The sequence below is a fragment of the Homo sapiens genome, chromosome 13 (genome assembly GCF_000001405.40).
Source record: "Homo sapiens chromosome 13, GRCh38.p14 Primary Assembly".
NCBI classification, from domain to species: Eukaryota; Metazoa; Chordata; class Mammalia; order Primates; family Hominidae; genus Homo; species Homo sapiens.
The window spans coordinates 25,933,742-25,961,211 of record NC_000013.11 but is presented as its reverse complement, the minus strand read 5'-3'; the positions used below and the strand labels follow the sequence as shown (position 1 = coordinate 25,961,211).

The 27,470-nt window shown below is 45.4% G+C and overlaps 1 protein-coding gene and 2 pseudogenes across 8 annotated transcripts in view; 1 reads left to right on the top strand and 2 right to left on the bottom strand.

The window, feature by feature from the left end:
- Nucleotides 1–27,470, bottom strand: part of ATP8A2 (ATPase phospholipid transporting 8A2) — a 653,878-nt gene that overhangs the window by 64,640 nt on the left and 561,768 nt on the right. The gene's annotated exons all lie outside the window — the stretch shown is intronic.
- Nucleotides 10,391–10,508, top strand: RNY1P3 (RNY1 pseudogene 3; annotated as a pseudogene).
- Nucleotides 16,446–16,734, bottom strand: RN7SL741P (RNA, 7SL, cytoplasmic 741, pseudogene; annotated as a pseudogene).

Sequence of the window (27,470 nt, the reverse complement as noted above, 5' to 3'; positions counted from 1 at the left end):
CTCATCATCAGCTCCTTTTCTCTCAATGCCCGTTCATTCATGGAGCCAGGACCCATGTCATCGCTACTTGGTACAAGGCATGGTGGTTCTCCCCACCCAGGAAAGGAAGATGAATAGGTTATAGTCCTTGCCTTCAGGAGATTAAATACTCTCTGGTGCAATCTACATTACACAGTGGAATATGGTATATATCACGAATATAAACGATGGGGTTTCTGGGAAGACTTCTTAAAGACGACAGAGTATGAGATGTGCCTGGAAACATGAACACGATTTCAGTAGCTAGAGATGGGTAGAAGGACAGAGATTCCAAGTGGAAGGATAAAGGACAGGGGAGAGCAGCAAGGAGTGCAGCTTCCAAGACTTCCTTGTTCCTGGCATGCTGGTCAGGGATAGCTTGGGAGGGAACAGGTAGAGAGGGTTTTGGGGATCAGAGCTGCAGGGCCAAGTTAGATGTTAGGTGAGTTGAAAAGAGAACTTAGGGCAAAAGCAGAGGGAGGGAGGAGTTTACTCTGAACAGAGATGGGGGCCTGAGCAGGGCAGATGCCTTCAATTTTGGTTTTGAATGAGCAAAAGCCCGGAGCCTGGAGCTGGCTAGGAATTGGGAGGCTGGCCTACAAGGGTGGGCCACCTGAGAAAGGGACTCAAGTTAGTGTGACAAACCCTCCGTGTTCACCGGATTTCTTTTCTGGAGGCCTCAAACATTTGGTCCTACTGGAATAGAAGTTTCGCTAGAGCTCACTGCAAAGGAGAGTGAGACTTACAGAGGGAGGGAGAGCAGAGGGCCTGAGGCACAATTAACCACCTGTGGGACCCCCACAGGGACTGGGAGGGTCTAAGACTCCTGGAGGCCTGGAGTAGCTCCCTTTATACAGTAAAATGAGGGCAGGATTCACCTGACTCAAGCCTGGCATCCAAGAGTCAACCCACTCTTCGGTTTCCATCCTCTGCTCCAGCTGGACGGCCAAATGCACTGCAGCCCTGCCGCTCCCTCTGCCCTGCAGGGCTTCCCTGCCCAGCGTCTATACTCACAGCATCCCCACCCGCTTACCCTGATCCCAAGCACCCAGCTTCCCCATCTGGCCAAAGCCATGCCTAACCACAGCCCTCCTGCCTCTGGGCCCCTTCCCATAGCCCTGTTGGTGGTGCTTGGCATTTTATGACAATTAAACCAAAAAGCAGTGAAGTTTACAGGAAAAGAGTCAAAATCCAACCCTGGAATGGGAGGACTTGCTTTCCTTTTCAAACAACCAAGAGTACCAGCTTTTGACCGAAAAGTTTACAACCCTTAAAAATGTGTGAGTACATTTTGCCCCATCAATTACATCTCTCAGAATTCATCCTAAGGAAGGAAGAAAACATGCAAAGAAGCAAGTACAATGATATTCACAAGAGTGCTAGTCTATCAAAGAAACCAGAAGTAGATGTCCCAGGACAAGATCTATTAAATGTACCATGGCACTTACATACAACGGATTTCCATGCAAGCAATTAAAGTAATGTAGAATTATATTTGTTGACAGAGATGTCGTATTCTACTGCCACTGAGAAACATGGGTTCTGTGATAACATCTCATAGAGGATCTGTCATGGTGGTTGTGGGAAAGGAAGCACCACTGGCCCAAGCTTCAAAATTAAACTTGAAGGTGTCACCCCTAGATGAGGTACACCCACACGTACACATCTTTATTACACATTTGTCAATACATATCAGTAGATACCATCATTTTTGTAGTCTCGTTTTGGTATTTCCTTACCTTTACAAAAACATTCCAGGACTTCAAAAACAGTGGGGTGTCCCAGGCCCCGATGGACTTGAGAGTGCCTCCTTCAAGTGTGGGCATGCTTACATGCTCAGGAACAATGCATGGAACGGTATATGGAAACCAGGATCTGGGTGGCCCAACTGGTGATTTGTATTGTCATATCTCTTTGTGTATCTCCATTTCCTGTTTCTTCTACAGAACACATGTATTTTGGCAAAACTCAACTCTCTCTCCCCAACCAAGAAAACCACAAGAAAGGGATTGGATCAGCCTGCTCCTTCCAGCTCCTGTTGTCCTGCCTGCAGGGTAAACAGGGTCTCCAGAGGGGACCTTGGGTTTTGCTCATGCTACAGATGCCTGAGGTGGTGCTTGGCCCCTGGAAGATGGACTTGTTCAAGCTGTACTTGTGGGGATACATGCAGGATCATTCACTATGTGTATTTATTTAAGAACACAGTGACTTTACATAATGTATCATTTAAAATAGATTGTAACTCAAATGTACCCTGTAAATATGTAAAATATTATGTATCAATAAGAAACAGATTATGAAACTCAGAACTTTAGTTGCTGAGGGAAAAAAGGAAAATGAACTTTGAATTCTCTTGTTGAAAATATGAAGCCTGTCCTAAATTAATAAAGGTTATATGAAGACTTGAAAGTATTGTTCTGTTGCTGGTCTTCAAAACTAGGAGCTGTGAATGTGACACACATAACTAATTTTAAAGGTGTATCTCAGAGAGGTTCCTACCATCCTAATTTTCACAGATGGACTGAGACCCAGAGTCTGAAATCCTTCTAAGGTGATCTACTGACCATTTACATGCCATATGCCTAGGAACTCACTGCAGTAAATTACAGGAAAGTGAGCGTCAGGTGGGTAGAATTATTGATTCATTAGGACACAAGCTGGTGAGAGCCAGACACAGGATTGGAGGTTTGTCTGACTGTAAAGCCAATGAGCTGTGCAGCACTGCCCTGGGTCAGACTAGGCGCATTAACAAGGGACACCCATGCACCTGCGGATCAGGATTTGTGAATGCATTAGCTTCAGCCATGCCACTAATCATATGCACCCCAGTGCCCCAGGACTAGCTGTCCACGAATGTGGTGACAAACTAGAAAAGGTTAATTTTTTTTTTTTAAATTATACCTTAAGTTCTGGGATACATGTGCAGAACATATGCAGGTTTGTTATATAGGTATACACGTGCCATGGTGGTTTGCTGCACCCATCAACCCATCACCTACATTAGAAATACCTAGCATTAGGTATTTCTCCTAATGCTATCCTTCCCCTAGTCCCCCACCCCACAACAGGTCCTGGTGTGTGATGTTCCCCTCCCTGTGTCCATGTGTTCTCATTGTTCAACTCTCACTCATGAGTGAGAACATGCAGTGCTTGGTTTTCTATTCCTGTGTTAGTTTGCTAACTAACCATCATTCCTGAGAATGATGGTTTCCAGCTTCAACCATGTCCCTGCAAAGGACATGAACTCATCCTTTTTTATGGCTGCATAGTATTCCATGGTTTATATGTGCCACATTTTCTTTATCCAGTCTATCATTGATGGGCATTTGGGTTGGTTCCAAGTCTTTGCTATTGTGAAGAGTGCTGCAATAAACAAGCGTGTACATGTGTCTTTATAGTAGAATGATTTATAATCCTTTGGGTATATACCCAGGAATGGAATTGCTGGGTCACATGGTATTTCTGGTTCTAGATCCCTGAGGAATCACCACACTGTCTTTCACAATGGCTGAACTCATTTACACTCCCACCAACAGTGTAAAAGCGTTCCTATTTCTCCACATCCTCTCCAGCATCTTTTGTTTCCTGACTTTTTAATAATCACAATTCTAACTGGCGTCAAATGGTATCTCATGGTGGTTTTGACTTGCATTTCTCTAATGACCAGTGATGATGAGAAACTTTGTTTCATACGTTTGTTGGCCGCATAAATGTCTTCTTTTGAGAAATGTTTGTTCATATCCTTCAGCCACTTTTTGATGGGGTTGTTTTTTCCTTGTAAATTTGTTTAAGTTCCTTGTAGATACTGGATATTGGTCCTTTGTCAGATGGATAGATTGCAAACATTCTCTCCCATTCTGTAGGTCGCCTGTTCACTCTGATGATAGTTTCTTTTGCTGATGCTCTTTAGTTTAATTAGATCCATTTGTCAATTTTGGCTTTTGTTGCCATTGCTTTTGGTGTTTTAGTCATAAAGTCTTTACCCATGTCTATGCTTGAATGGCATTGCCTAGGTTTTCTTCTAGGGTTTTTATGATTTTAGGTCTTATGTTTAAGTCTTTAATCCATCTTAAGTTAATTTTTTGTATAAGGTGTGAGGAAGGGGTCCAGTTTCAGTTTTCTGCATATGGCTAGCCAGTTTTCCCAACACCATTTATTAAATAGGGACTCCTTTCCACATTACTTGCTTTTGTCAGGTTTGTCAAAGACCAGACAGTTGTAGATGTGTGGAATTATTTCTGAGGCCTCTGTTCTGTTCCATCAGTCTACACATCTGTTTTGGTATCAGTACCATGCTGTTTTGGTTACTGTAGCCTTGTAATATAGTTTGAAGTCAGGTAGTGTGATGCCTCCAGCTTTGTTCTTTTTGCTTAGGATTGTCTTGGCTATATGGGCTCTTTTTTGATTCCATATGAAATTTAAAGTAGTTTTTTTCTAATTCTGTGAAGAAAGTCAATGGTAGCTTGATGGGGAGAGCATTGAATCTATAAATTACTTTGGCAGTATGGCCATTTTCATGATATTGATTCTTCCTATCCATGAGCATGGAATGTTTTTCCATTTGTTTGTGTCCTCTCTTTTTTCCTTGAGCAGTGGTTTGTAGTTCTTCTTGAAGAGGTCCTTCACGTCCCTTGTAAGTTGTATTCCCAGGTATTTTATTCTCTTTGTAGCAATTGTGAATGGAAGTTCGCTTATGATTTGGTTCTCTGTTTGTCTGTTATGGGTGTATAGGAATGCTTGTGATTTTTGCACATTGATTTTGTATCCTGAGACTTTGCTGAAGTTGCTTATCAGCTTAAGGAGATTTTGGGCTGAGATGATGGGGTTTTCTAAATATACAATCATGTCATGTGCAAACAGAGACAATCTGACTTCTTCTCTTCCTATTTGAATACCCTTTATTTCTTTCTCTTGCCTGATTGCCCTGGCCAGAACTTCCAATACTACGTCAAATAGGAGTGGTGAGAGAGGGCATCCTTGTCTTGTGCCTGTTTTCAAAGGGAATGCTTCCAGCTTTTGCCCATTCAGTATGATATTGGCTGTGGGACTGTCATAAATAGCTCTTATTGAGATACGTTCCATCAATACCTAGTTTATTGAGAGTTTTTAGCAAGAAGAGGTGTTGAATTTTATTGAAGGCCTTTTCTGCATCTAGTGAGATACTCATGTAGTTTTTGTCATTGGTTCTAGTTATGTGATGGATTATGTTCATTGATTTGCGTATGTTGAACCAGCCTTGCATCCAGGGATGAAGCTGACTTGATGGTAATAGATAAGTTTTTTGATGCGCTGCTGGATTCGGTTTGCCAGTATTTTACTGAGGATTTTCACACTGATGTTCATCAGGGATATTGGCCTGAAATTTTTTGTTTTGTTGTGTCTCTGCCAGGTTTTGGTATCAGGATGATGCTGGCCTCATAAAATGATTTAGGGAGGCGTCCCTCTTTTTCTATTGTTTGGAATAGTTCCAGAAGGAATGGTACCAGCTCCTCTGTGTACCTCTGGTGGAATTCAGCTGTGAATCCGTCTGGTCCTGGGCATTTTTTGGGTGGTAGGCTATTAACTATTGCCTCAATTTCAGAACTTGTTATTGGCCTATTCAGGGATTTGACTTCTTCCCAGTTTAGTCTTGGGAGGGTGTATGTGTCCAGGAATTTATCCATTTCTTCTAGATTTTCTAGTTTATTTGCATAGAGGTGTTTATAGTATTCTCTGACGGTAGTTTGTATTTCTATGGGATCAGTGGTGATATCCCCTTGATCATTTTTCATTGTGTCTATTTGATTCTTCTCTCTTTTCTTCTTTAATAGTCTGGCTAGCAGTCTATTTATTTTGTTTATCTTTTCAAAAAACCAGCTCCTGGATTAACTGATTTTTTTGAAGGGTTTTTCATGTCTCCATTTCCTTCAGTTCTGCTCTGATCTTACTTATTTCTTGTCTTCTCCTAGTATTTGAATTTGTTTGCTCTTGCTTCTCTAGATCTTTTAATGTAATCTTTTATTGTGATGTTTGGGTGTCAATTTTGGATCTTTCCTGCTTTATGTTGTTCTCCAAACTGGTTATTCCAGTTACCAATTCCTATAACCTTTTTTCAAGGTTCTTAGCTTCCTTGCATTGGATTAGAACATGCTCCTTTAGCTCAGAGGAGTTTGTTATTACCCACCTTCTGAAACCTACTTCTGTCCATTCGTCAAACTCATTCTCTATCCAATTTTGTTCCCTTGCTGGTGAGGAATTGTGATCCTTTGGAGGAGAAGAGGCATTCTCGTTTTTGAAATTTTCAGCCTTTTTGTGCTGTTTTTTCCTCATCTTTGTGGATTTATCTACCTTTGGTCTTTGATGTTGGTGACCTTCAGATGGGGTTTTTGAGTGGACATCCTTTTTGTTGATGTTGATGAAATTCCTTTCTGTTTGTTAGTTTTCCTTCTAACAGTCAGGTCCCTCTGCTGCAGGTCTGCTGGAGTTTGCTGGAGGTGTTTGTCTGGGTATCAACAGCAGAGGCTGCAAAACAGCAAGAATTGCTGCCTGTTCCTTCCTCCAGAAGCTTCATCCCAGAGGGGCACCCGCCAGATGCCAGTCAGAGCTCTCTTGTATGAGGTGTCTGTCAACCCCTGTTGAGAGGTGGTGTCTCCCAGTCAGGAGGCATAGGGGTCAGGAATCCACTTGAGGAGGCAGTCTGTCCCTTAGCAGAGCTCTAGTGCTCTGCTGGGAGGTCCGCTGCTCTGTTCAGAGCCGGCAGGCAAGAACGTTTAAGTCTGCTGAAGCTGTGCTCACAGCTGCCCCTTCCCCCAGGTGCTCTGTCCCAGGGAGATGGGAGTTTTATCTATAAGACCCTGACTGGGGCTGCTGCCTTTCTTTCAGAGATGCCCTGCCCAGAGAGGGGGAATCTAGAGAGGCAGTCTGGCTACTGTGGCTTTGCAGAGCTGCAGTGGGCTCCACCCAGTTCAAACTTCCTGGTGGCTTTGTTTACACTGTGAGGGGAAAACCACCTACTCAAGCCTTAGTAATGGTGGACGCACCTCCCCTAACCAAGCTCGAGTGTCCCAGGTCAACTTCAGACAGCTGTGCTGTCAGCAAGAATTTCAAGCCAGTGGATCTTAGCTTGTTGGGCTCCGTCGGGGTGGGATCCACTGAGCTAGACTACTTGGCTCCCTGGCTTCAGCCCCCTTTCCAGGGAAGTGAACGGTTCTGTCTTGCTGGCATTCCAGGTGCCACTGGGGTATGAAAAAAAAAAACTCCTGCAGCTAGCTCGGTGTCTGCCGAAACAGCCATGCAGTTTTGTGCTTGAAACCCAGGGCCCTGGTGATGTAGGCACCGGAGGGAATCTCCTGGTCTGCAGTTTGCGAAGACCATGGGAAAAGCATAGTATCTGGGACGGAATGCATGGTTCCTTACAGCACAGTCCCTCACGGCTTCCCTCGGCTAGGGGAGGGAGTTCCTCAATCCCCTGTGCTTCCCGGGTGAGGCAACGCCCCACCCTGCTTCGGCTTGCCCTCCGTGGGCTGCACCCACTATCTAACCAGTCCCAGTGAGATGAACCAGGTTCCTCAGCTGGAAATGCAGAAATCACTCGCTGTCTGCCTTGATCTCCCTGGGAGCTACAGACTGGAGCTGTTCCTATTTGGCCGTCTTGCCTATTTCCCTTGCTTTTTTTTTTTTTTTTTTTTTTTTAAAAAGGCTGGAGTAACCAGGGCTACATAAGGTCAGTTTGTGTTCCCCAATGTGGCGTGGATTTGAAAAGATGTAATAAAGGTGGAGCAGCAACAGTTCACCTGTGAGGAGAAGGAAGCTCAAATTTCTTCGTGCGTCACTCTGTGCCAGAACTTCCCATAAAGCATTTTATTTAATCCCCCCCGTCCCCATTTTACAGAAGAAAATTTAAGTCTGCCCCTTCCCCACAGCACCTGCAGCCAGAGAGTTGAGTCCTCAAGATGCTGGTTGGCCCAGCAACACCAGTGCCAACTTCAAATTGTAAGTAAAAGAAAATGAGGAGCACTTGTAAAGTTAAAAGACGAAAAGAAACACAGGAGGGGACAATTTTTCCAATCCATTCCCACCCAGCATCGACAACACAACAACAAAATAAAACAAAACCTGTCAGGACAATCGGATTTGGAAGAACCCTTGCAGTTGCCATTGCCACCTTCTCTTCTCAGCCCTCCTTGCCCCTCAGTGTTGCCTCCTAAAATTTCTTTCCATTCAAACGTCAAGGGAGCTTCTTTGTATTGTTTTTGAGGTTTGGCTTTCTGAAAACCTTGGTTTTCATGAGCGTGCATGTCAAAAGGTAAATCTCCTTCTCTTTTTACTATGAACCTTTTTAGGAAGGATGGCAATGTACATTCCAAACCTATTTGCTCAGGGTGGCTGTGTGGCGCTGACACAATAAAGAGCTGTGCTCCCCTCTAAAGGCTTGGCTGAGGTGCAGGTGTGCTGAGCTCACCCATCATCTGCTGGGAAGGCAAATATCAGTGCAGGATGAATGAAATTGGCCCTAACTCTGCAATGCAACAGAAAAGAAAACTGGCTAGGCGTGGTGGCTCACGCGTGTCATTCCAGCGCTTTGGGATGCTGAGGTGAAGGACGGTTTGAGGTCAGGAGTTTGAGATCAGCCAGGACATCGTGAGACCCTGTTTCTACAAAAAATAAAAATAGCTGGGTGTGGTAGTGCGCTTGTAGTCCCAGAAATTTGGGAGGCTAAGGTGGGGGGATCGCTTGGGCTCAAGAGTTCAAGGTTGAAGTGAGCTATGATTGTGCCACTGCACTCCAGTTTAGGTGACAGAGTGACCCTATCTGGGAGCAAAAAAAAAAAGAAGAAAAAGAAAATACCATGGCCAGATGAAGTGCTTAGTGAGCCCACGCTAATTTGCCACAGGAGGGAGGAAGCAAATTCCAGGCTGAAATCTAGTTCTTCATTTCCCGAAATCATTCATGCCCACTCTCTCCCTGTACGAAATGCCTAGAGCTTGGTGTCAATTTTAAGCTTAATTCCACAGCAAACAGGAAGGCATCTCAGTTCAACGTATTGGGACATCCTCTGAAGATGATTCTACTAGCACTCATTTCAGAAGCCCTGTGTGAATGCAAAGGAATTGTTAAACAATGAAGCGATCCCACAGCACCTGCATCCCTACTATAACTTAAAAACCACCCACACACCCGATCCCAATGTTTAAATAACAAGCCACTGGTATGTCTAGGACACCTGCACAAAGGAGATGTAAACCCACAGCTTCTAGCACAAAAATCTGCCAACTTAACATCCCTGTCACCTGCAACTGATGGCGGGTGAGATTGAGCAACCACCTAAAAATATCATTCCTACAAATTTAGTGTCATTAAAAACAAAAATAACAAACACACTTACTTTGACAGTGGGCGGTATCAGTGTTTTTTGTCACCAAGGCACAAGGGAGTTTTATCAATGAACCTTGCTATTTTGAAACCACAAAAATTAGTGGTGGTTCATTAACATAATAACATGGTAAGGGGTTCTCAAAAGCACCCCCAGTATGCTCTTAACAAGCATATACATCCCCCAGGAAGATGAGGCAATGCTTCCTGGGGGTTATAATTTAAATATGCTAAAATGCACAGATCTTCAGCCATTAACACAACTGTCTACACCTGTCTACCTACCACCCAAAACAAAATATAGAACATTTCCATTATCCCAGAAAGCCCTCCCGTGCCTTTTTCATTCAATCTCCACCCTCAATAGGCAGTTCCTGCCCTGCCTGCTATCACTATAGCTAAGTTTTGCCTGTTCTCAAACTTCATATGAATGAAATGACAGAGTACAGTTCTGTTGAATCTGGCTTCTTTCACTCAACATGATGTCTCTGAGATGGATCCATGCTGTTGCACATATCTGTAATTCATTCTTTTTAGTTTTGGAATCGTATTCCATTGCACGAATAGATCACAATTTGTTTATCCGGTCTCTTGTTGATGGATGTTTGGGTTATTTCCAGTTTGGGCCTATTATTAAGAATAAGGCTGCTATTTACAAGCTTCTACAAGTCTTTTTTTGCGTGTGGACATATGTTTCCAGTTCTTTTGGGTCAACACCTGGGAGTGGGGTTGCTCTATCATACAGGAAGAGTGTGATTAGCTTTATTAGACACAGCCAAAGAGATCTCCAAAGTGGCTGTCTGAATAAAGCAAGTGCAGGCGCATTCCGGTTGCTCCACATCCTCAGCAGCACTTGGTATGGTGTCTGTTTCCACTCCAGTGGCTCATGGGGGAAAGGGAGTGTGCATGAGGTGGGACAACTCTGGCAAACCTTCCCACCACCCTGTGAGCTATTCAGGACCGAAGCAACTGCTCTCCACTGATTTGCAGGATGGCCCAAGGTTACAAGCTCTACAGAGGAGGCTGGTCTGGAGGCAGCGAGTTACCTCCACTGTTTATTCACAGTCAGGTACAGATCCAACTGCCCCTTCTTCTCTTTCCCCACTTCTCACTACTGCCCTTGCCCTTGACTAGTTAAACAAAATAAAAAATAAATAAATAAAGCTCCAGAAAGGAAACCCTGAAGCAAACAAGAACTCTAGACTCCCTCTCCATTCAGGACATAGAGAATGGGGTGTGTTTGGTTTGAATTGGTGGTAACATTTAAACTCTTGTTCATTGTTAAATAAACAGGCAGGCAGTGAGAAGAAGACATTTCCCAATTTTCCTAAACAGGGTGTGAGGAGGGGGAGTGCTGTTACTGTTCTTTGCCTACTTATTTGAGAGAAAGGTGAGGCCCTTGACTCCCTCAAATTATTACCTGATTTTTCTTTTTCAGGTAGTGATCATTTTAATTTCCTATTTTTCTCCTTAGGACCCAATTTTAGAGACCAAAATGTTGGTCTAACCAAATAGCTACTTTACATCACCCAGAACGACCCCTGTCCTACTCTGCTGTATCTTCCTGAAGCTGTTATCTGGATGTAAAGACAGGTGGTTCCTAGGCCATTCTCCACAGGTCGTGACGTGGGAAACCAGGCAGAGAAACAGTATATCGCCCCTGAGATACGCGACTTTTATTTCCAAGGTAAAAATGGGACAGGTTTAAAACGAGTACTGTGTGGTTTAAAAATAAGCAGTCTGGGCTGGGAGCGGTGGCTCACACCTGTAATCCCTGCACTTTGGGAGGCAGAGGCAGGTGGATCACCTGAGGTCAAGAGTTCGAGATCAGCCTGGCCAACATGGTGAAACCCTGTCCCTACTAAAAGTACAAAAATTAGCCAGGCGTGGTGGTGTGTGCCTATAGTCTCAGCTATCTGGGGGGCTGAGGCAGGAGAATTGCTTGATTCTGGGAGGCGGAGGCGGCAGTGAACTATGATCTTGCCACTGCACTCCAGCCTGGGTGACAGAGCGAGACCCTGTCTCAGAAAAAAAAGGCAGTTTGTACTCTCTTTCACTTTTAACAACAACATAAATAAAGCAACGTTCACTGAAGACACACGTGCAGTCTCTATCTTCCGTGTCTCAGGGGCAATTGTCCAGCTGGAGCCACGGGAAGGGCTGCAGAGGCACCTGGATGCCCAGCCTCAATCCTTGCTGGGGCTCTTCTCTGGCAGAGGTGAGACTGCAGCTTCCAGGAATTATGCTGGGGGCCTGTGTGTCTCTGGCATATTGTTTATATTGTGTACTTATAGGCAATTTTAACAATCACTATTTCTAGATTGCAATCTTCCTGTGGTTACATAGAAAGCCAAGAGAGGCACTGTGCTGACATAGCAAAGGTATGCCCGTCCAGGAGAGAAAAATTGGATGCCTAACGATTGCCAAACCCCTGATAATTCAGACTATTAGCGTCAATGTCAACGCGCAGTATTTAGGACAGATACTGATAAAGATAGGGTGGACGGCCACCTCACCTTGTCACCATCTGAATGAGGAGCCCTGAGATGGGTCCCCTCCCACCTGCAATGGCCCGCTGGCATCTGCAGGTGGAAGGTGCAGGGATGCAGAGACTAAAGCTGTTCTCCTGCCCCTGCAGAGCCCAGCCTTGGAACAGACAGACACCATTTCATTTCATTCACTCACTGCTGGCTGCACTACCTGAACACACGCCCTCTGACACCATCTGTGAGTTACTCATGCTTCCCACAGCAGAGGGAGAAGGTACTTTGCTCACCCCTCCTCCCACAGAGGGGGATGAAGTCAGGAGCCTGGTGGAGGCACCGCTGAGGAAGGGCCTCTGAAAGGACCAAAGACAGTGACCAGCAAGTGTTTCTTGCAAGGCCAAGGAGCTAAAGCTTCCAGGAGGGGCTGCACAGTCTTGAAAAGCATCATCTGCGTCCCCTTGGGCTGCCACAACAAAACACCATAGACCGGGTGACTTAAACCACAGATATGTATCTGCTTGCAGTCCTGGAGGTTGGAAGTCTGTGATCAGGGAGCCAGCATGCCTGGGTTCTGGCAAGCACCTCTTCCTGGCTTGCAGAGACCTCCCATCTCACTATGTGCTCCTTTTTGTGTATGAATAGAGAGTGTGATCAAGCTCTCTGCTGTCCCTTAGAAGGGCACTAATCCCAACACAAGAGCTCCACCCTCCTGACCACAGCTAACCCTAGTTATCTGCTCAAGGCCCCATGATGCAGCCATCACATTGGAGGTTAGGGCTGCAACTCTGGGATTTGAAGCAAGACACATTCAGTCCATAGCAAGCATGAGCAGGCTGCCGGGGCTCCAATCCCAGCTCTGCCATTGACTCGTTACTTAACTACTGTGGCTCAGTTTTGTCCTCTGTAAAATGAGGAAAATATACCTTGTAGGGCTACTGTGAGGCTTAAGTGAATTACTAAGTGTAAAGTACTATAAAAGGTGCTTGGCACATGGTAAATGCCATACATGTTACCTATAACTAATGATTTTTTACACTATCGATTATAACCACAATTATTCAGACATCCTAGATGTGGCCAGCGATGATGTGTGATGATTCCTGAATGAGTTTTGAGGGGGAACTGGGTCCCAGGGAGTACGATCTGCTCCTGCTGTCAGGAGAAGGGCTACCCCACCACTCCTCTCAGAGAGGTGGAAGGGTTGAGCTGTGCTATAGAAGTCCCAGATTATACTGGGAATAGGTTGCTGATTGGTGACAGACAGTAAGTGTTAATAGTGATGCTGGTGCCAAGAGAAAGCTAAGTCTAAGTCTCTTTTTTATATTCCAATACAAACATCAGCCCCTGGTGCCCAATGCCCATTGGGTGTCTTCTATTTTAATTAATAGGTGCAGGTGAACGTCCCCTCATCAGGCAGTGGCAAGCATGATGTTCTCTTATCTGCTCTTATCTCCAGAGAACACCACTGAAGACGCACTCAGATGTCGCTCTTTGATGATGAAGGATGTTCACCAATAATTCTGTGCCCAAACAGATGAGAAAAGAGGGGATGATTGCTCAGGAAAAGTGTTGTCCACGTAGCTGCACATCAAAAGGCTGACCACGGTGTCTGCTTGAGTCACGGCCCCAGGAAGAAGAGGGTGATTCTCAGCCCAAGTTGTGCTCCAGAGCCTCAGCTGCTTCCACAGGGATGGGGAAGGAGTGAAGCTGCCTCCATCACACAGAGTGAAACTGCCCAGGCCACATGTTTATCTTTATCTTCTCCTTATCACTGAATGAAAGGGGACTTCTGAGCTGGAAGTCCTGGAGACCCTCTTGGCCTTGAGGCTTTTATGGAGACTCCCAGATGGCAGGAATCATACACTGAAGACTCTAGTCATTGTCACTGATGACGGTAAAGACTTCTCCCACCCCACAGCGGGCCTCACCAGTGCTAAAGGCAAGCAGTCACCCACAGGGCCTGACAAGAGTGATGCCAGGAAGGACATGGTCCCCAGCCTCTATTTTCCTACTTAGAATTAATGAAGATGTAGACAATGGAAATCACATAACAGAAAGAGTACATGCACGAACATACCCTGAATATGAGATATTTCATTTTACCGAAAAGTCCCTGTCAGTCACTCTTTTGGGCATTCAGAATACCCCTGAAAATGCTAATTCGACCTGGAAGACCCCTGGATCCTAAATCAGAGTACTGCGTGGGTACTTATGTCAAGCCATATGATCAACAAGATATATCCTCCTGGATCTTCAATCTCACCCAAAGATTTGGAAAACAGATCCTTTCATATTAAAACCAATAACATGGCCGGGGGCGGTGGCTCACGCCTGTAATCCCAGCACTCTAGGAGGCCGAGGTGGGTGGATCACCTGAGGCCAGAAGTTCAAGACCAGCCTGGCAAGCATGGCGAAACCCCGTCTCTACTAAAAATACAAAAACTGGCCAGGCGTGGTGGTGCATGGCTGTAATCCCAGCTACTTGGGAGGCTGAGGCAGGAGAATTGCTCCAACCCAGGAGGCAGAGATTGCAGTGAGCCAAGATCGTGCCACTGCCCTCCAGCCTGGGCAACAGAGTAAGACTCTGTCTCAAAAAAACAAAACAAACAAAAAACCAATAACATTTTCACAATACATTTGAATAATTTATTTTTACCTAAAACTAGCATCTTTGAGTAAATATCATTTTTGAGATGTAATGCCACAGGATACATACTCGGGCCTCCCAGGGTGTGCCCTCGCTCCCCTCTGTTAGAGGCATTCCGTGGGCGAGTTTGAGGAGAGTGGAATTAAGTCAAGAATGTATATCTGGGTTTGAAAATAATTTATATCAGCTTGCAGAGGACATCCACTGGCGACGTGAGGAGGAGCTGAAGATGTTGGGATGGACATGGAGGCCTTGAATTCCCCAACCTTGAACTACATCATGACTGTGCTCATAGCCAGGCTTCTCTTGCTTGTGGTCACTGCTGTGGCTCAAGGTTGTTTTGCCTTCCATGCAGTGGATTTCCTGGGGTGTTTCTCAATCTGTATCTCAGATTTGAGATGTATGAGAGAGACTCTCAGGAGGAGAGAGATGTCCCCGTGGGGACATGGCCATTGGCCTCCTTAACTCACTGAGTGGCCGGACTCACAGGGATGGTCTCAGCAGTGGAGTAAGGTGGTGAATCGGGAGTGAGGACTCGGGATTCAGACAGACCTGGGATGGAACTGTGCCTCTGAGCCTTAGACTGCGACACTCAAAAGGTTAATTAACCTCTCCGTGCCTCATTTTCCTCCTCTGTAAAATCAAGACTGCCTCACAGGGCTGTCCTGCCTAGCCTGGTCAGCTGTGCTCCCACTCTCACATGATCCATTTCACCAGAACCCTGAGAGGTCCTAGAATGAAACCTTTAAAACTAAGCATATACTTCTTCCTTCCACAAATTCTACTCCTCCCCGACCCCAAACATCTGTACAGTGCCGTGTGCTGATCTTGAAACAGCTCTGACTGTAAAATGACTTAGGTGGAGCCAATGAGCTCAGTGGCTGCAGCACAGTACCAGGCGTCTGAGCCCCTGCCAGCTGGCCGCGATCCATCCCTCAGGCAGCCTTCCCGGAGCAGAAAAATCCGGGGACCCCTTGATGAGACATTTTCTCCAATGTTTTCTTTAACTCTGACAACTGCAACTGAAATTTAGCAGCAGCTTGTTGCACCCCCACAGGGATTCTTCTTTCTCTCTCTCCCTCTCACTATTACTCTTTTCACTGCCCCTCCACACCAAAGTTCATGGTGGTGGTTGTTATTTTTTAATAGAAAAATGTTCTTGGGGGAGAAAAGACTTGAATTAATAAAGATTTTATGATAACCCAGTGAAAATTGTGAAGAATGTCCATTCCAAGTACCCAATTCAGAAATTAAAACAATGCTTTCTAATTTTAATGTTGATTTCTTTCTTTCATGAAATGAATAACGTTACATCCACCATTAACGTGCCTTCCTTCTGCCAGCAGTTTTTGAGAACTTATTTGGTTACTTCTGAGAGACACAAAGATGAAGAAAGCACACTCCCCCAGAACCTCATCAATAAGTAGCCACGCATTTGACAGAATGAGGTGCACATTGCAGGCTAACGATTCACACACATACATACACACTGCTGGGGGCACAGGCAGATTCACCAGCACACCCTGCAATCATTCCGACTTCCAACAAGGTTATCCCAAATCATAAATATGTATATGTTTTGCCTAAAACCAACCCTCACTTCCTCCCACCCCGTCCCTAGTATTTCCTGTTTTCATCAATGACACACTGGCCTCAGGCATAAGTGAGAGGCAGGTCTTGGTTTCAGGCTCCCCTCTCTTCTATCAAACCCTTCTTTCCTGGGTATGCCTATATACATTATTTCAAAAACCCTTGTAGGGGAGATACTAATTATTCCCATTTTACAGATAAAGGAAATAAAGCTCAGGAGTTGAATGGACAGTCCAAGGTCATACAGTAAGAGACTACCTCAGGATTTGAATCCAGGTCTCTCCAATTCAAGAGTCAGTGCCTGTCCCATGGTGTCAGAGATACATATTTTTTAAATAATTTTTTTATTAGCGATAAATACACTCACATTATGCTGCCCAGGCTGGAGGGCAGTGGCTATTCACCGTTGTGAGTCCACTACTGATCAGCACAGTAGTTTTGACCTGACCTGTTTCTGACCTGGGCTTGTTCATCACTCCTTAGGCAACCTGGTGGTCCCCTGCTCCCAGGAGGTCACCATATTGATGCCAAATTAGTGCAGATTCCCTACTGGTATGACACACTACAGAACTCCTGGGCTTAAGCAATCCTTCTACAGGCCTGTATTCTTTTCTTTTTTTTTGAGACGAATGTTGCCCAGGCTGGAGTGCAGTGGTGCAGTCTCGGCTCACTGCAACTTCTGCCTCCCGGCTTCAAGTGATTCTCCTGCCTCGGCTTCCCAAGTAGCTGGGATTACAGGCATATGCCACCACATCTGGCTATGTTTTGTATTTTTAGTAGAGACGGGGTTTCACCATGTTGGCCTGGCTGGTCTCAAACTCCTGACCTCAGGTGATCCGCCCACCTCAGCCTCCCAAAGTGCTGGGATTATGGGCGTGAGCCACCCGCCCAGCTCTTACAGGCCTATATGCCTAACAGACAATGGCTTTACTGAATACTTCATCATTTACTAATATTTTCTATATCATGATTTGCTAGCATTTAAATAACTTTCATTTTAATCAACTGCAAGCCTTTAAATTTGTATAGTCCAGCTTCAATTTTTAGCCCAGTAATCCTAGTCTGACTTTACCATACATAAATTAATTATTTTACTATATTTCTGACCCTTGTCTTTTTCTATTTTGCTTAAAATGTAACAGTTTAAAACAATAAACGTAATAACTGGACTGTTTCCACAGGATTTCTCTATTCCTCCAGCACACAGCAGTTGTGCTAACTGAGCAAGCAGTCATGCATCATTACGCAATAAAGCAAAGCTGCTACATCTTGGTGCTCAGTTAATAAGCAACATGCAGCTTATCCATGAATAGAAGGCTGGGAGTCTACACAGGCAGCCAGGTTTGATTGGATTTCACGGTTCCTCACTATTCCTTAGTAGTACAAGTCCCATTAAAGTTGGGATCTATGAAGCGAAAATAACATTCGTTTTCAAATCATACAGGCAGAGATCGACAGGTTACAAAATACAGATGCGTATTGCTTAACAATAGAGACACATTTTGGGAAATGCATAGTTAGGTGAGTGCGTTGTTGTGGGAGCATCCTGGAGTGTACTGACACAAACCTAGATGGGATTGCACACTAGACACCTAGGCTATCTTTTATAGCCCATTGCTTGTAGACTACAAGCTGTACAGCATGTTCCTGTACTGAATTTTGTAGGCAACTGTAACACAATGCTAAGTATCTATGCATCTGAACATATAAAAGGTACAGTACAAATATGGCATTATCATCTTAGGGGACCATCCTGGTCATATGTGTGGTCTGCTGTTGACTGAAACGTTGTTACATCGTGCATGACTAGAATCATTTTTATAAAAGGGAAGTAATTTGAGTGAGGAGAGGAAGCCTCCAGTTGACAGCATAGCAGTTCTCCAGGGATTTCAAGCTTGCAACGGCTGAACTATCCTGGAGGTATTATTATTGTTCTGAGAATCTCTGGAGAGAGGATGCCTCTCCAGATGGCCCACTCTGGACCATCTCAGATGCTCCCTAGGTTCAAACCCTGGAGGCGCATGCTCTCGTTCCTCTAATGGAGCACACAGAGCAGCACAAGGGCTCCAGCTCAGACCCCTCCCTTCTGTGCAATGCCCAAGACTCTCAGCGGGGACATGAAAAACCTCACTGGACAATGCTTGAAATCTAGCAAATGCCCTGTCCATGGACAGGGGAGGGAGTTCTGGCAAAAAGGCAATACTACTCGTCCAAATGGAAAACATCAGGACCTACTTTGTACCACAGGCAGATGTTACTTCCAGGTAGAGCACAGAGCTCACAGTGAAAAGCATTCAACATTTTTAGAAGAAAACATAGGAGAACATCTTTATGACCTTGATTAGTTTTTAGAGAACATACAAACAGCAGAAACCATGAAAGAAAATCGATAAGTTGGCTGGGCACGGTGGCTCACGCCTGTAATCCCAGCACTTCGGGAGGCCGAGGTGCGTGGATCACCCGAGGACAGGGATTTGAGACCAGCCTGGCCAACATGGTGAAACCCCATCTGTACTTAAAACACAAAAAATTAGCTGGGTGTGGTGGTACGCACCTGTAATCCCAGCTACTCGAGAGGCTGAGGCAGGAGAATCGCTTGAGCCCGGGAGGCAGATGTGGCAGTGAGCCAAGATCATGCCACTGCACTCCAGCCTAGGGTACAAGAGCGAGACTTCATCTCAAAAAAAAAGAAAATCGATAAGCTTGCCTACATTAACAATGGAAAACTTTTGTACTAAAAGACACCATAAAAAAAGTTAGAGAAAAGCCACAGACTGAGAAATTTGCAATGTGCATTTCATTCCAGATTATGCCCTCTTGGGAAATTCATTCATGTCCACAAATAGATATGTTCAGGAGTGTTCACTATGGCATTTCTGGCAACTGTAGGGAAAAAAAGGAAACTCAAATGTTTATCAATGGGAGAATAAAAAAAATTTGGCAAATTTATATAATGGAAAACAGCATTAAAAGGAATGTGCTACAATTATATCACTATGATAAACTTCAAAAACAGTTGTTTTTTTTTAAACCCAGTGTTGAGGAAGAGTACATATAATACAATCTATTTAAAGTTTCAAAACCCTGCATGATTAGCACTGTGTATTGTTAATATTTTCTATAGGTTTATGCACGCAGAATACATGCATGAAAACAGTCAACAGTAAAGTAACGAGAGCATTTCTATCTCAAGGGGAGTGAGACTGGGAGGACAACGAAGGAGACTCATATAATGTGGTCAGCATTTTATTTATTTTCAAAAAGATATGAAGCAAATGGCATGTTAATATTTGAATAGGCCACTTATTTAATTCCTGGACTTTTGTCTCTTGGTGCAAAATTTGCCACAATTTTGATACATTCCACTCTCTGCCCTGGTGCTTGGTGTGAGGCCTGAGATGCTGGTTTAAAGAATGGACACAGGCATGAAGTCACCACAGTTGGATTCAGTGTGTGCTGCTGCCAGGACTATATGGGGAACAAGAGGGACAGTGGTTGTCCTCAAGCAGCAATTGGTCAGGATGGGACGGGTGAGGAGATACTTCTAGGGCAGAGCAGAGTCACACGGGTTCTGGAAGAGACGCCTGTGTGGGGTTCATTGAGGATCCATTTCGGCGCAGGTAAGAAGAGCATTGCAGCCAGAAGACGGCCAGACACGCTGCCTCCTACAGAGGTGCTTCCTGCAGGAGAACAGTGTGCTTGGGTTTAGGCCATGCATGGAGGGGAGGGAAGCCTGTGAGGAAAGAGGGCTGCTGAACTGAGGAGCTCAGATTTCCTTCAGGACACAACAGAAAGCCATGGGATCGTTTCAAACAGGGAACAGTCACCAAGGCAGCAGCTATGAGAGCAACTGAAGGGCAGACAGGATCTGGGAGGCATAGGAGGAGGCCCCTGAAGTAGTGGAGGGGACAAGTCAAGCAAGAGCCAGATGGGAGGGGGAAGTGTCCCCCAGGGAAGCAGGAGCAGTACTCGGGGGAGGTGGAACTAGCGGCTCTGAGGCTCCGTGGATCTCCCTTCCTGGAGGAGTCAGAAAGTTCTCGATCTGGAGAGAGGCTGAGGAATTGTGGGTGTGGAGTGCTCCACAAAGATGGATCCATGTGGCCGGAGAAGGGCGGCTGTGACAGTGAGGAAAGAGCCACGTGGACTCTGCTACCGCACACCATGGCACGTGCCCAGCCCTCTCTGTGAATCAGCTCAGCTCACCCTCCTGACAACCCACGTTGCTGTTGATTCTCCTCTCACAGGTGAGGTCACTCAGGCACGATGGGTCACGGAGCTTGGCCAGGATCGTGGCAGAGCCAGCATCCAACAAGGCCCTAGAGCCCAAGCTCTCAGCCTCTCTCAGAGGCCAGGCTAGTCCTCTGTGGGGAGGGCCGCCTGCACCTGCTGAGGGGTGAACCCATGGAGATGCATGTGATCACAGAGGAAAGGAGCACACGGTGGGCAAAGGCTTGTGACCAGAACCTGGGTGACAGCTATGCTAGGAGGTGGAGGAAGAAGAACAGCCAGCCCTCCATGAAGTCCTCGTCAGTGGGACCTGTGCTGTGAAGGTGAAGGAAATTCTGGGAGGACAGTGAGGGAGGGGAACCGGGGGCGGTAATATGCATGAGTCAGTGTGGAGGAAAGGCCGGTGGGGCCTGCCCAGAGGACGGGAAGGCAGCAGGAAGCGGGCAGGAGGGAGAAGGTCTTGAAATGTAAAACCTCAAGAGGGAAAGTGGTGCAGGGAGGCCCTGGGGTGAGGAGAGGAACAGCTTCAGGAATGGAGTTGAAAGCGGCAGCTCTGAAGGCCAAGGCCAGGTCTTAACTCGGAGATGGGAGGCATCAGCATCAGCAGAGGACTCTGGGAAGAGGCTTCCAGGGTGGCGAGGAGGACGCTGAAGAGCCACCGGGAAGGGGCCTCACTCTCTGTGGTGAGCAGAAGGCGGAGTCAAGTTCGGCATGAAGAGCAGAGGAGTCCAGCCCCTGGAAGCTGCTGTGACAGGCACGGGAAGTCAGCAAAGGAGAGCCCAACTGCCAGCGCCACTCGAGGACTGAGGGCAGGAGCCACAGCCCTTCACGCTCCCGAGGACTGAGGGCAGGATCCACATCCTTTCACGTTTCGCCAAACGTGGAGCAGCCTGAGTGCACGGAGTCAAGCAGATGGTGGGGACGACAGGGCAGAAACCCAGAACCAAGAAGGGCAGGGGAGTTAAGGACAAGAAGAAATGTCCCACCTACACAAGTGGTTTTGGAGCCCCACTGGAAGAAGAAAGGCGAAGCCTGGGAGAACTGGTAGGAGTGGACGTCAACTGCAAGGCAGAGAGGTTGGCAATGGCAGTGAAAGTTCAGAGCAGTTTCAGTGGGGATGGTGGCAGGAGGCAGCCGAACCAGGGATGGCTGTGAGTCGGGGAATCGGATGCTAAGATCTTGAGGATGACACAGATTCCAGGTTGTGGAGGGCCAGCCCTGCCAAGGGATGGGAATGAATTGTGGACATGGACCTCCCAGGAGCCAGGGAAGTCAAAAGAGTATGAAGACATGGTAACAGAGGAGTCTCCACATTGGCACAAACATCCCCAATATGGCGAAAGTCAGGAAGAAGAGTGGCAAACCACCGCATTGCTGTGATGAGAAAAGGTGGAAGACGCTAGAAGCAGACACATGAACCAGAAGAGAGGCCTGAGCAATGATTCAGGGAGGCTGCGGACTCCTCCGTCCTGGTCCTGTGCCTGAAGTGAGAGATGTGTTGGAAAGCACACCATGTAAGTTGACTAAAAAATGTTTACAAAAATCAACCAAAACGGGCAAACAAATAACCAGATCCATAGATTGGAAGCTCTAAAAGGAAAGCACTGCCTCTTAGCACCTGGAACGAGCCCTCCAAGACAAAGGGGTATGCAGAGGACAAACTGTGGTATGGAGGCAAAAAATGGGGGTAAAAGGAGCACGCTGGTGAAAGAGAGAGTAGTTCCCATGAGGCAATCAAAGGAAAGGAGAAGGCCTGGCGTGGTGGCTCATGCCTATAATCCCAGCACTTTGGGAGGCCAAGGCGGATGGATCACCTGAGGTCAGGAGTTCAAGACCAGCTTGGCCAACATGGCGAAACCCCATCTCTACTAAAAATACAACAATTAGCCGGGCGTGGTGGTGCGTGCCTGCAATCCCAGCTACTAGGGAGGCTGAGGCAAGAGAATCGCTTGAACCAGGCAGGCAGAGGTTGCAGTAAGCCAAGATCAAGCTTTTGCACTCCAGCCTGGGGGATAGAGTGAGACTTCATTTCAAAAAAAAAAAAAGGAAAGGAGAAGGGATGATGGAAATCCAATGCATTGTCTCTGGAACGTGTTGCAGACATCCTTCCATCTACCCACGACACTCACGACTTCCTTAATAATTGTCAAGAAACAGGTGTCTCTTCCTAGCCCCTCTGGAGAACACTCTTTGAATCAAAGCATGTCTCCCTGCTTGCTCTATTCCATGGTGGATGAGCAGCTTGGGCCTAGAGGCTCCTGGGAGACCCATGAAAGGAGCTGGCGATCCATTCCGTGTCCTGTTAGCACCTTTGTTCCCTTTACAACCATAATTCAGGTGAAACACACACACACATGCATGTTTAGGCATGAAAGTTAACACCACAGACGGTAATGTGAAATACTACATATGTGCAATGGGGTTAATTTACAGTTACTGCGGGATCCATAACTTTGTAATTTCCTGGCTTTGGTCTGTACAGTTTTTCAGACTTCAACGTTTTATTAACTTTTTCTTTAAACTAGCTATCTGACTTTTGGCTGGTATTCCCTGTCGTATTCTCCCGCATATTTCCAAGCTGAATATCATGCTGTAAAAGTCCGTCCGTTTCCTCTCATCTCTTTCAGTCCATCTGTATTTTCTATGTTTAACCTCCTGGGTCTTCACCTTTTCTGGCTCTGTAAATTTAATTAATGTACTTCAACTTTTTTTTTTTTTTTAACCAGGTCACTGTTGAAAATTTACATAAAACAGATCCAGTTTTTCTCATTGTACCCTAATGGAAACACTTTAGCTACATTTCCCGTTCCAATATATTTCAATTTATCTTTTCAATACAGTTTCCCTAGTTTCAGAATTCTTAGACATGAGCAAACAGGAATACTTTTGACTGATTCTTCTATGGAGAACTTCCCACGTTTATAGCATTTTCCCATCTTAAAGCTGGATTAATATATAAATAATATTTGATATATACTCTTCATAAAAATCATCTAGACCTCCTTTCCTATGTCTTTGGTCTTTTTTTTTTTTTTTTTTTTTTTGAGACGGAGTCTCGCTCTGTCCCCCAGGCTGGAGTGCAGTGTTGCCATCTCGGCTCACTACAAGCTCCGCCTCCCGGGTTCATGCCATTCTCCTGCCTCAGCCTCCCAAGTAGCTAGGACTACAGGCGCCTGCCACCATGCCTGGCTAATTTTTTGTATTTTTAGTAGAGACAGGGTTTCACCGTGTTAACCAGGATGGTCTTGATTTCCTGACCTCGTGATCCGCCAGCCTCAGCCTCCCAAAGTGCTGGGATTACAGGTGTGAGCCACCGCTCCCGCCTGTCTTTGTTCCTTTTAATTGTTAAAGGCCCCGAGGTATTTCTTTTGCTTATATAGAACTGTCTTCTTATATTTCTCCATTAATTGTGGAGAATGGAAGCTGTTTTCAGAGCAAGAAAAGCAAAGGACAATAATTAGCCTTTTCTTTCATTTTTCCAAACACAACCAATGGAGTTACATTGGGCTGTTCAAAAAAAAAAAAAAAAAGAAAGAAAGAATAGAAAGACAAAGCAAAAAAAATAAAATGCCACAAAAGTTGAGTGAATGACTTCTATGACTGCACTTGAGATTTTGGTTCACAGAATATTTACTACAAGGGTACATTTTGTTTTCCCTTATAGTTTTACTTGCGTTTTTGTATGGCATTTAATGTCAATGACATACAGTTGTATGTGTCCTTTATCCCCTCTTCTTTAAAAAATATTAATCAACTATTGTCAGTTGCTTTGTTTTCCTTATTACCAACTTGCTTTCTCCTGAGATGAAACATTTCTATGCTTATCGCAGAAAAAGACTCATACACAGCTATGAGGAGTGCAAAGCTTAGGTTCACTAAGTCTACAGAGTAACTTGGAAACACTGAAGGAAACAAGAAGCCACCTCTGGTGAGCTTTCTGCTGCTTCAATAAGCGGAGGGCTGTAGGTGGGTGGTTCAGCAAAAAGTAAAACCCTTTCATAGCCCACAGAGTTCCACGCCTCAGACCTCTGAGAGTGTCTTGGACAGGTAGCTGAGGTGTAGACAATACCATCAGTGGAGCAGCTTGACAAAGAAACTCCAGGACAACCAGAACAGACCAGGAAGAAAGAGTCCTGTGTCATATTGGGGAAAATTGGGCCCAACCTTAAAAGAGTTTTCCCACGGGGGCAGTCAGCCTCCCTCTGCTCTGCAAACTGTCTTCCGATGATTCCTCATGGAATTAATTAATCAGAGGATTCTACTCGGATGCTTACGTGCCATGATCCCACTAATGAACTCCTAGATTAGAAGTCAGATGAAAACTTGTGGGATTGGGATTATTTCCCTTCCTCATTTAGCCTGACTTGAAGATGATGATTTATTATTTTTCTTTCAATTAAGGGATACCTGGAAAACATTTGTTTTGCGTCCTGATACGCAGGCCCATTGAGGCTTATTTAATCAAACTTCTCACTGAAGACTCTGCAGGGCCTGTCTGCGTCTCCACAATGAATGACTTCCGCAGACACTCAGGCCCATGGCCTCCCGAATCCTTCCCTATAATCCCCAACATCTGTTCTGTGTCCAGTGCTGACCAACGTGGGAATCAGCAAGGACTGGCCGTCAGATGAGCATACATGCTCATGAGCATCAGCTGGGTCTGGATGAACATGCCAGAGGTATGCAAGGCTCCAGTTCAAACCATTTGCAACACAGAGGAAACACCTGTTTAGAACTCATCCCAAATCAATGTGAGTTGGGTACTTTGAAGGGTGGGAGTGACAGCAGGAATTCAGATTATAGGACTCTGGGTACTTGATGAATGACATACCCCATTTCTAAGGCTGATGCTAACACCTACTTTCCCATCTTTTGACTGAGGATGATTCATCTAAAGTTAGTTTGAATCTTGTTTATGGTAACATTCAAAATTTTATGAAATCCTTAGGCTTAACCTCCACCAAAGGTCTCATATTACCTGCAACTCAAGCCTAATATCTATCATGAAAAATTAAAATATAGTGTGCAGTTTTTAATATAATGCTTGATTTATTTGGGGAGTGATATAGTTTGGATGTTTGCCTCCACCATATCTCATGTTGAGATGTGATCCCCCACGTTGAAGGTGGGGTCTCATGGGAGGTGTTTGGACCATGGGGGCAGATCCCTCACTAATGGCTTGGTGCCCTCTCCATGGTAAGGAGTTTGCAGGAGATCTCGTTGCTTAAAGGAGTGTGATGCTTCCCCTACCCCTTGTTCTCTCCCTTGCATGTGATATACCAGCTCCCGCTTTGCCTTCAACCATTACTGGAAGCTTTCTGAGGCCCTCACCAGGAGCAGATGCTGGTACCATGCTTCTTGTTCAGAGTGCACAACTGTGAGCCAAAATACCTCTTTTCTTTATAAACTACCCAGCCTCAGGTATTCCTTTACAGCAATGCAAATGGACTGACACCAAGTAAAAATGAATCTTTGTATCAGAAAATTACACTATAATAGTGAGCCACTTCTCCTTCTATCTAATCAACTGCCCAGCAGGGGAAGTTGACTAAACTCATTCAAGTCTGACAATGGTGGAGAGTTTATTTGCTTGCTGTACCAAGGTAGAAAAACAATGAGTGATTATGAATCCGAAAAACAAGACAACAGAATTTACATGAAATATCAACTGAGACAACATGTCCTTCAGGGAGGCAGCTGCCCAAATCCACCATAATTTAATAGGGTGAGTTTAATGATTAAGTAACTTAATTTCCATAAGCCTGAGTTTACTCATTTGTAAAACAGAGTGTCATCTTTGTAGGGTGTTTGCTGGACATCCAATGTTTTACATATATATATAGCTTAGCTTAGTAGCATCCTTAGCACTTAGTAACAGTAGCTGGGATTTTTGGCACATTCTTGCTAAAGTTGGCAAATCGAACTCTCCAGAATGGTATCTGAGTCCACTCCTGGTCTTGCCCCTTCATTCAGGACCCAGCTCCTGGCCCTTAGTCACCAGCAGCCTGCACTTCAGCCACACCGAACTGTATGAATTTCTTCAAATCCTCAACGTTGTTTTTTTTCTTTGTCTTTTCCCGTCTTCACTCAGCTGGCAGTGCCCCTCCACCACTGTTCTGGCCTTTAGAATTCCTCTTCCTCCTTCAAGACACAGCTGAAAGAACACTGCCTGAGCTTCTCCAGGTAGAATGGTCTGCTCCCTCCCGTGTTCCTCTATGATGGTAACAGTTCTAGAGCCACCATTTGTTGTATGATGACCATTTGTCAGGCACTGTGCTGGTCACTGGCCTTCCCTTCATTTAATACATATGGTGGCCTTACCACAAGAGCGTTATCCTTCATTTGGTAGATGAGGATGGTTTGTTCAGAAATGTCAAATAATCTTCCTAAGGTCACACTGCTGACCGGAGGTAAAAGCCACCATTGGAATCAAGGCTGCAGACCCTGCAGAGCGTGTTCCTGCCACTGTGCCTTGCGATCTGTATCAGCTCAATGCCATGCCTATGTGTACTCACTTCGTCACTAGACTGACAGCCTCCTAGTGTGAGGTACACGTTCTCTACATCCCTGTATTCTCAGTGGCTGCTCTGTCACAGGCAGACACTTACCTAATGGATTCACTAGAGACAATGAAAGGGAAGCTGTTTTCTACACAGCCTACCCGTACATACTAGAAATCCTATACAGGCTGCTTTGTTGGGGTAGAAACATCTGGAAAAGAAGTTAAGGCCCAGCACAGGTAACACCACTTCATAAACTGTTAGCAACTGACACTAAGTATTTTCATTTGGATTCTTAAGTTAGCATCAGGTAAACCTTTTCTTTTGGGTAGTTTTCCTCCTAGGCCTTTGCATATGAGTTTATTTGGAGCTGGTTAGCTACAAGCATACATTCTAGGAGGGGCCTGCATGGTACTCACCATCAGCCCAGACTGACTCAGCCCCAAGAGACAGAGCTGCCTGCCTCCAGGTCTTGCTGTGGCTGTGATCTTGGCAATAAATTCCTCTGTGAATTGGACTCTGAGTTCCATTTTCAGAGGGAGAGTTTCATGATGTAATGACAAATTAGCTGCAGCCAAGCTCACTGCAAGAGTCCTTGTCACTTGAAATGTACTCTGGGTAAGCCAGTCCCGTGGACAGACACTCCACCAA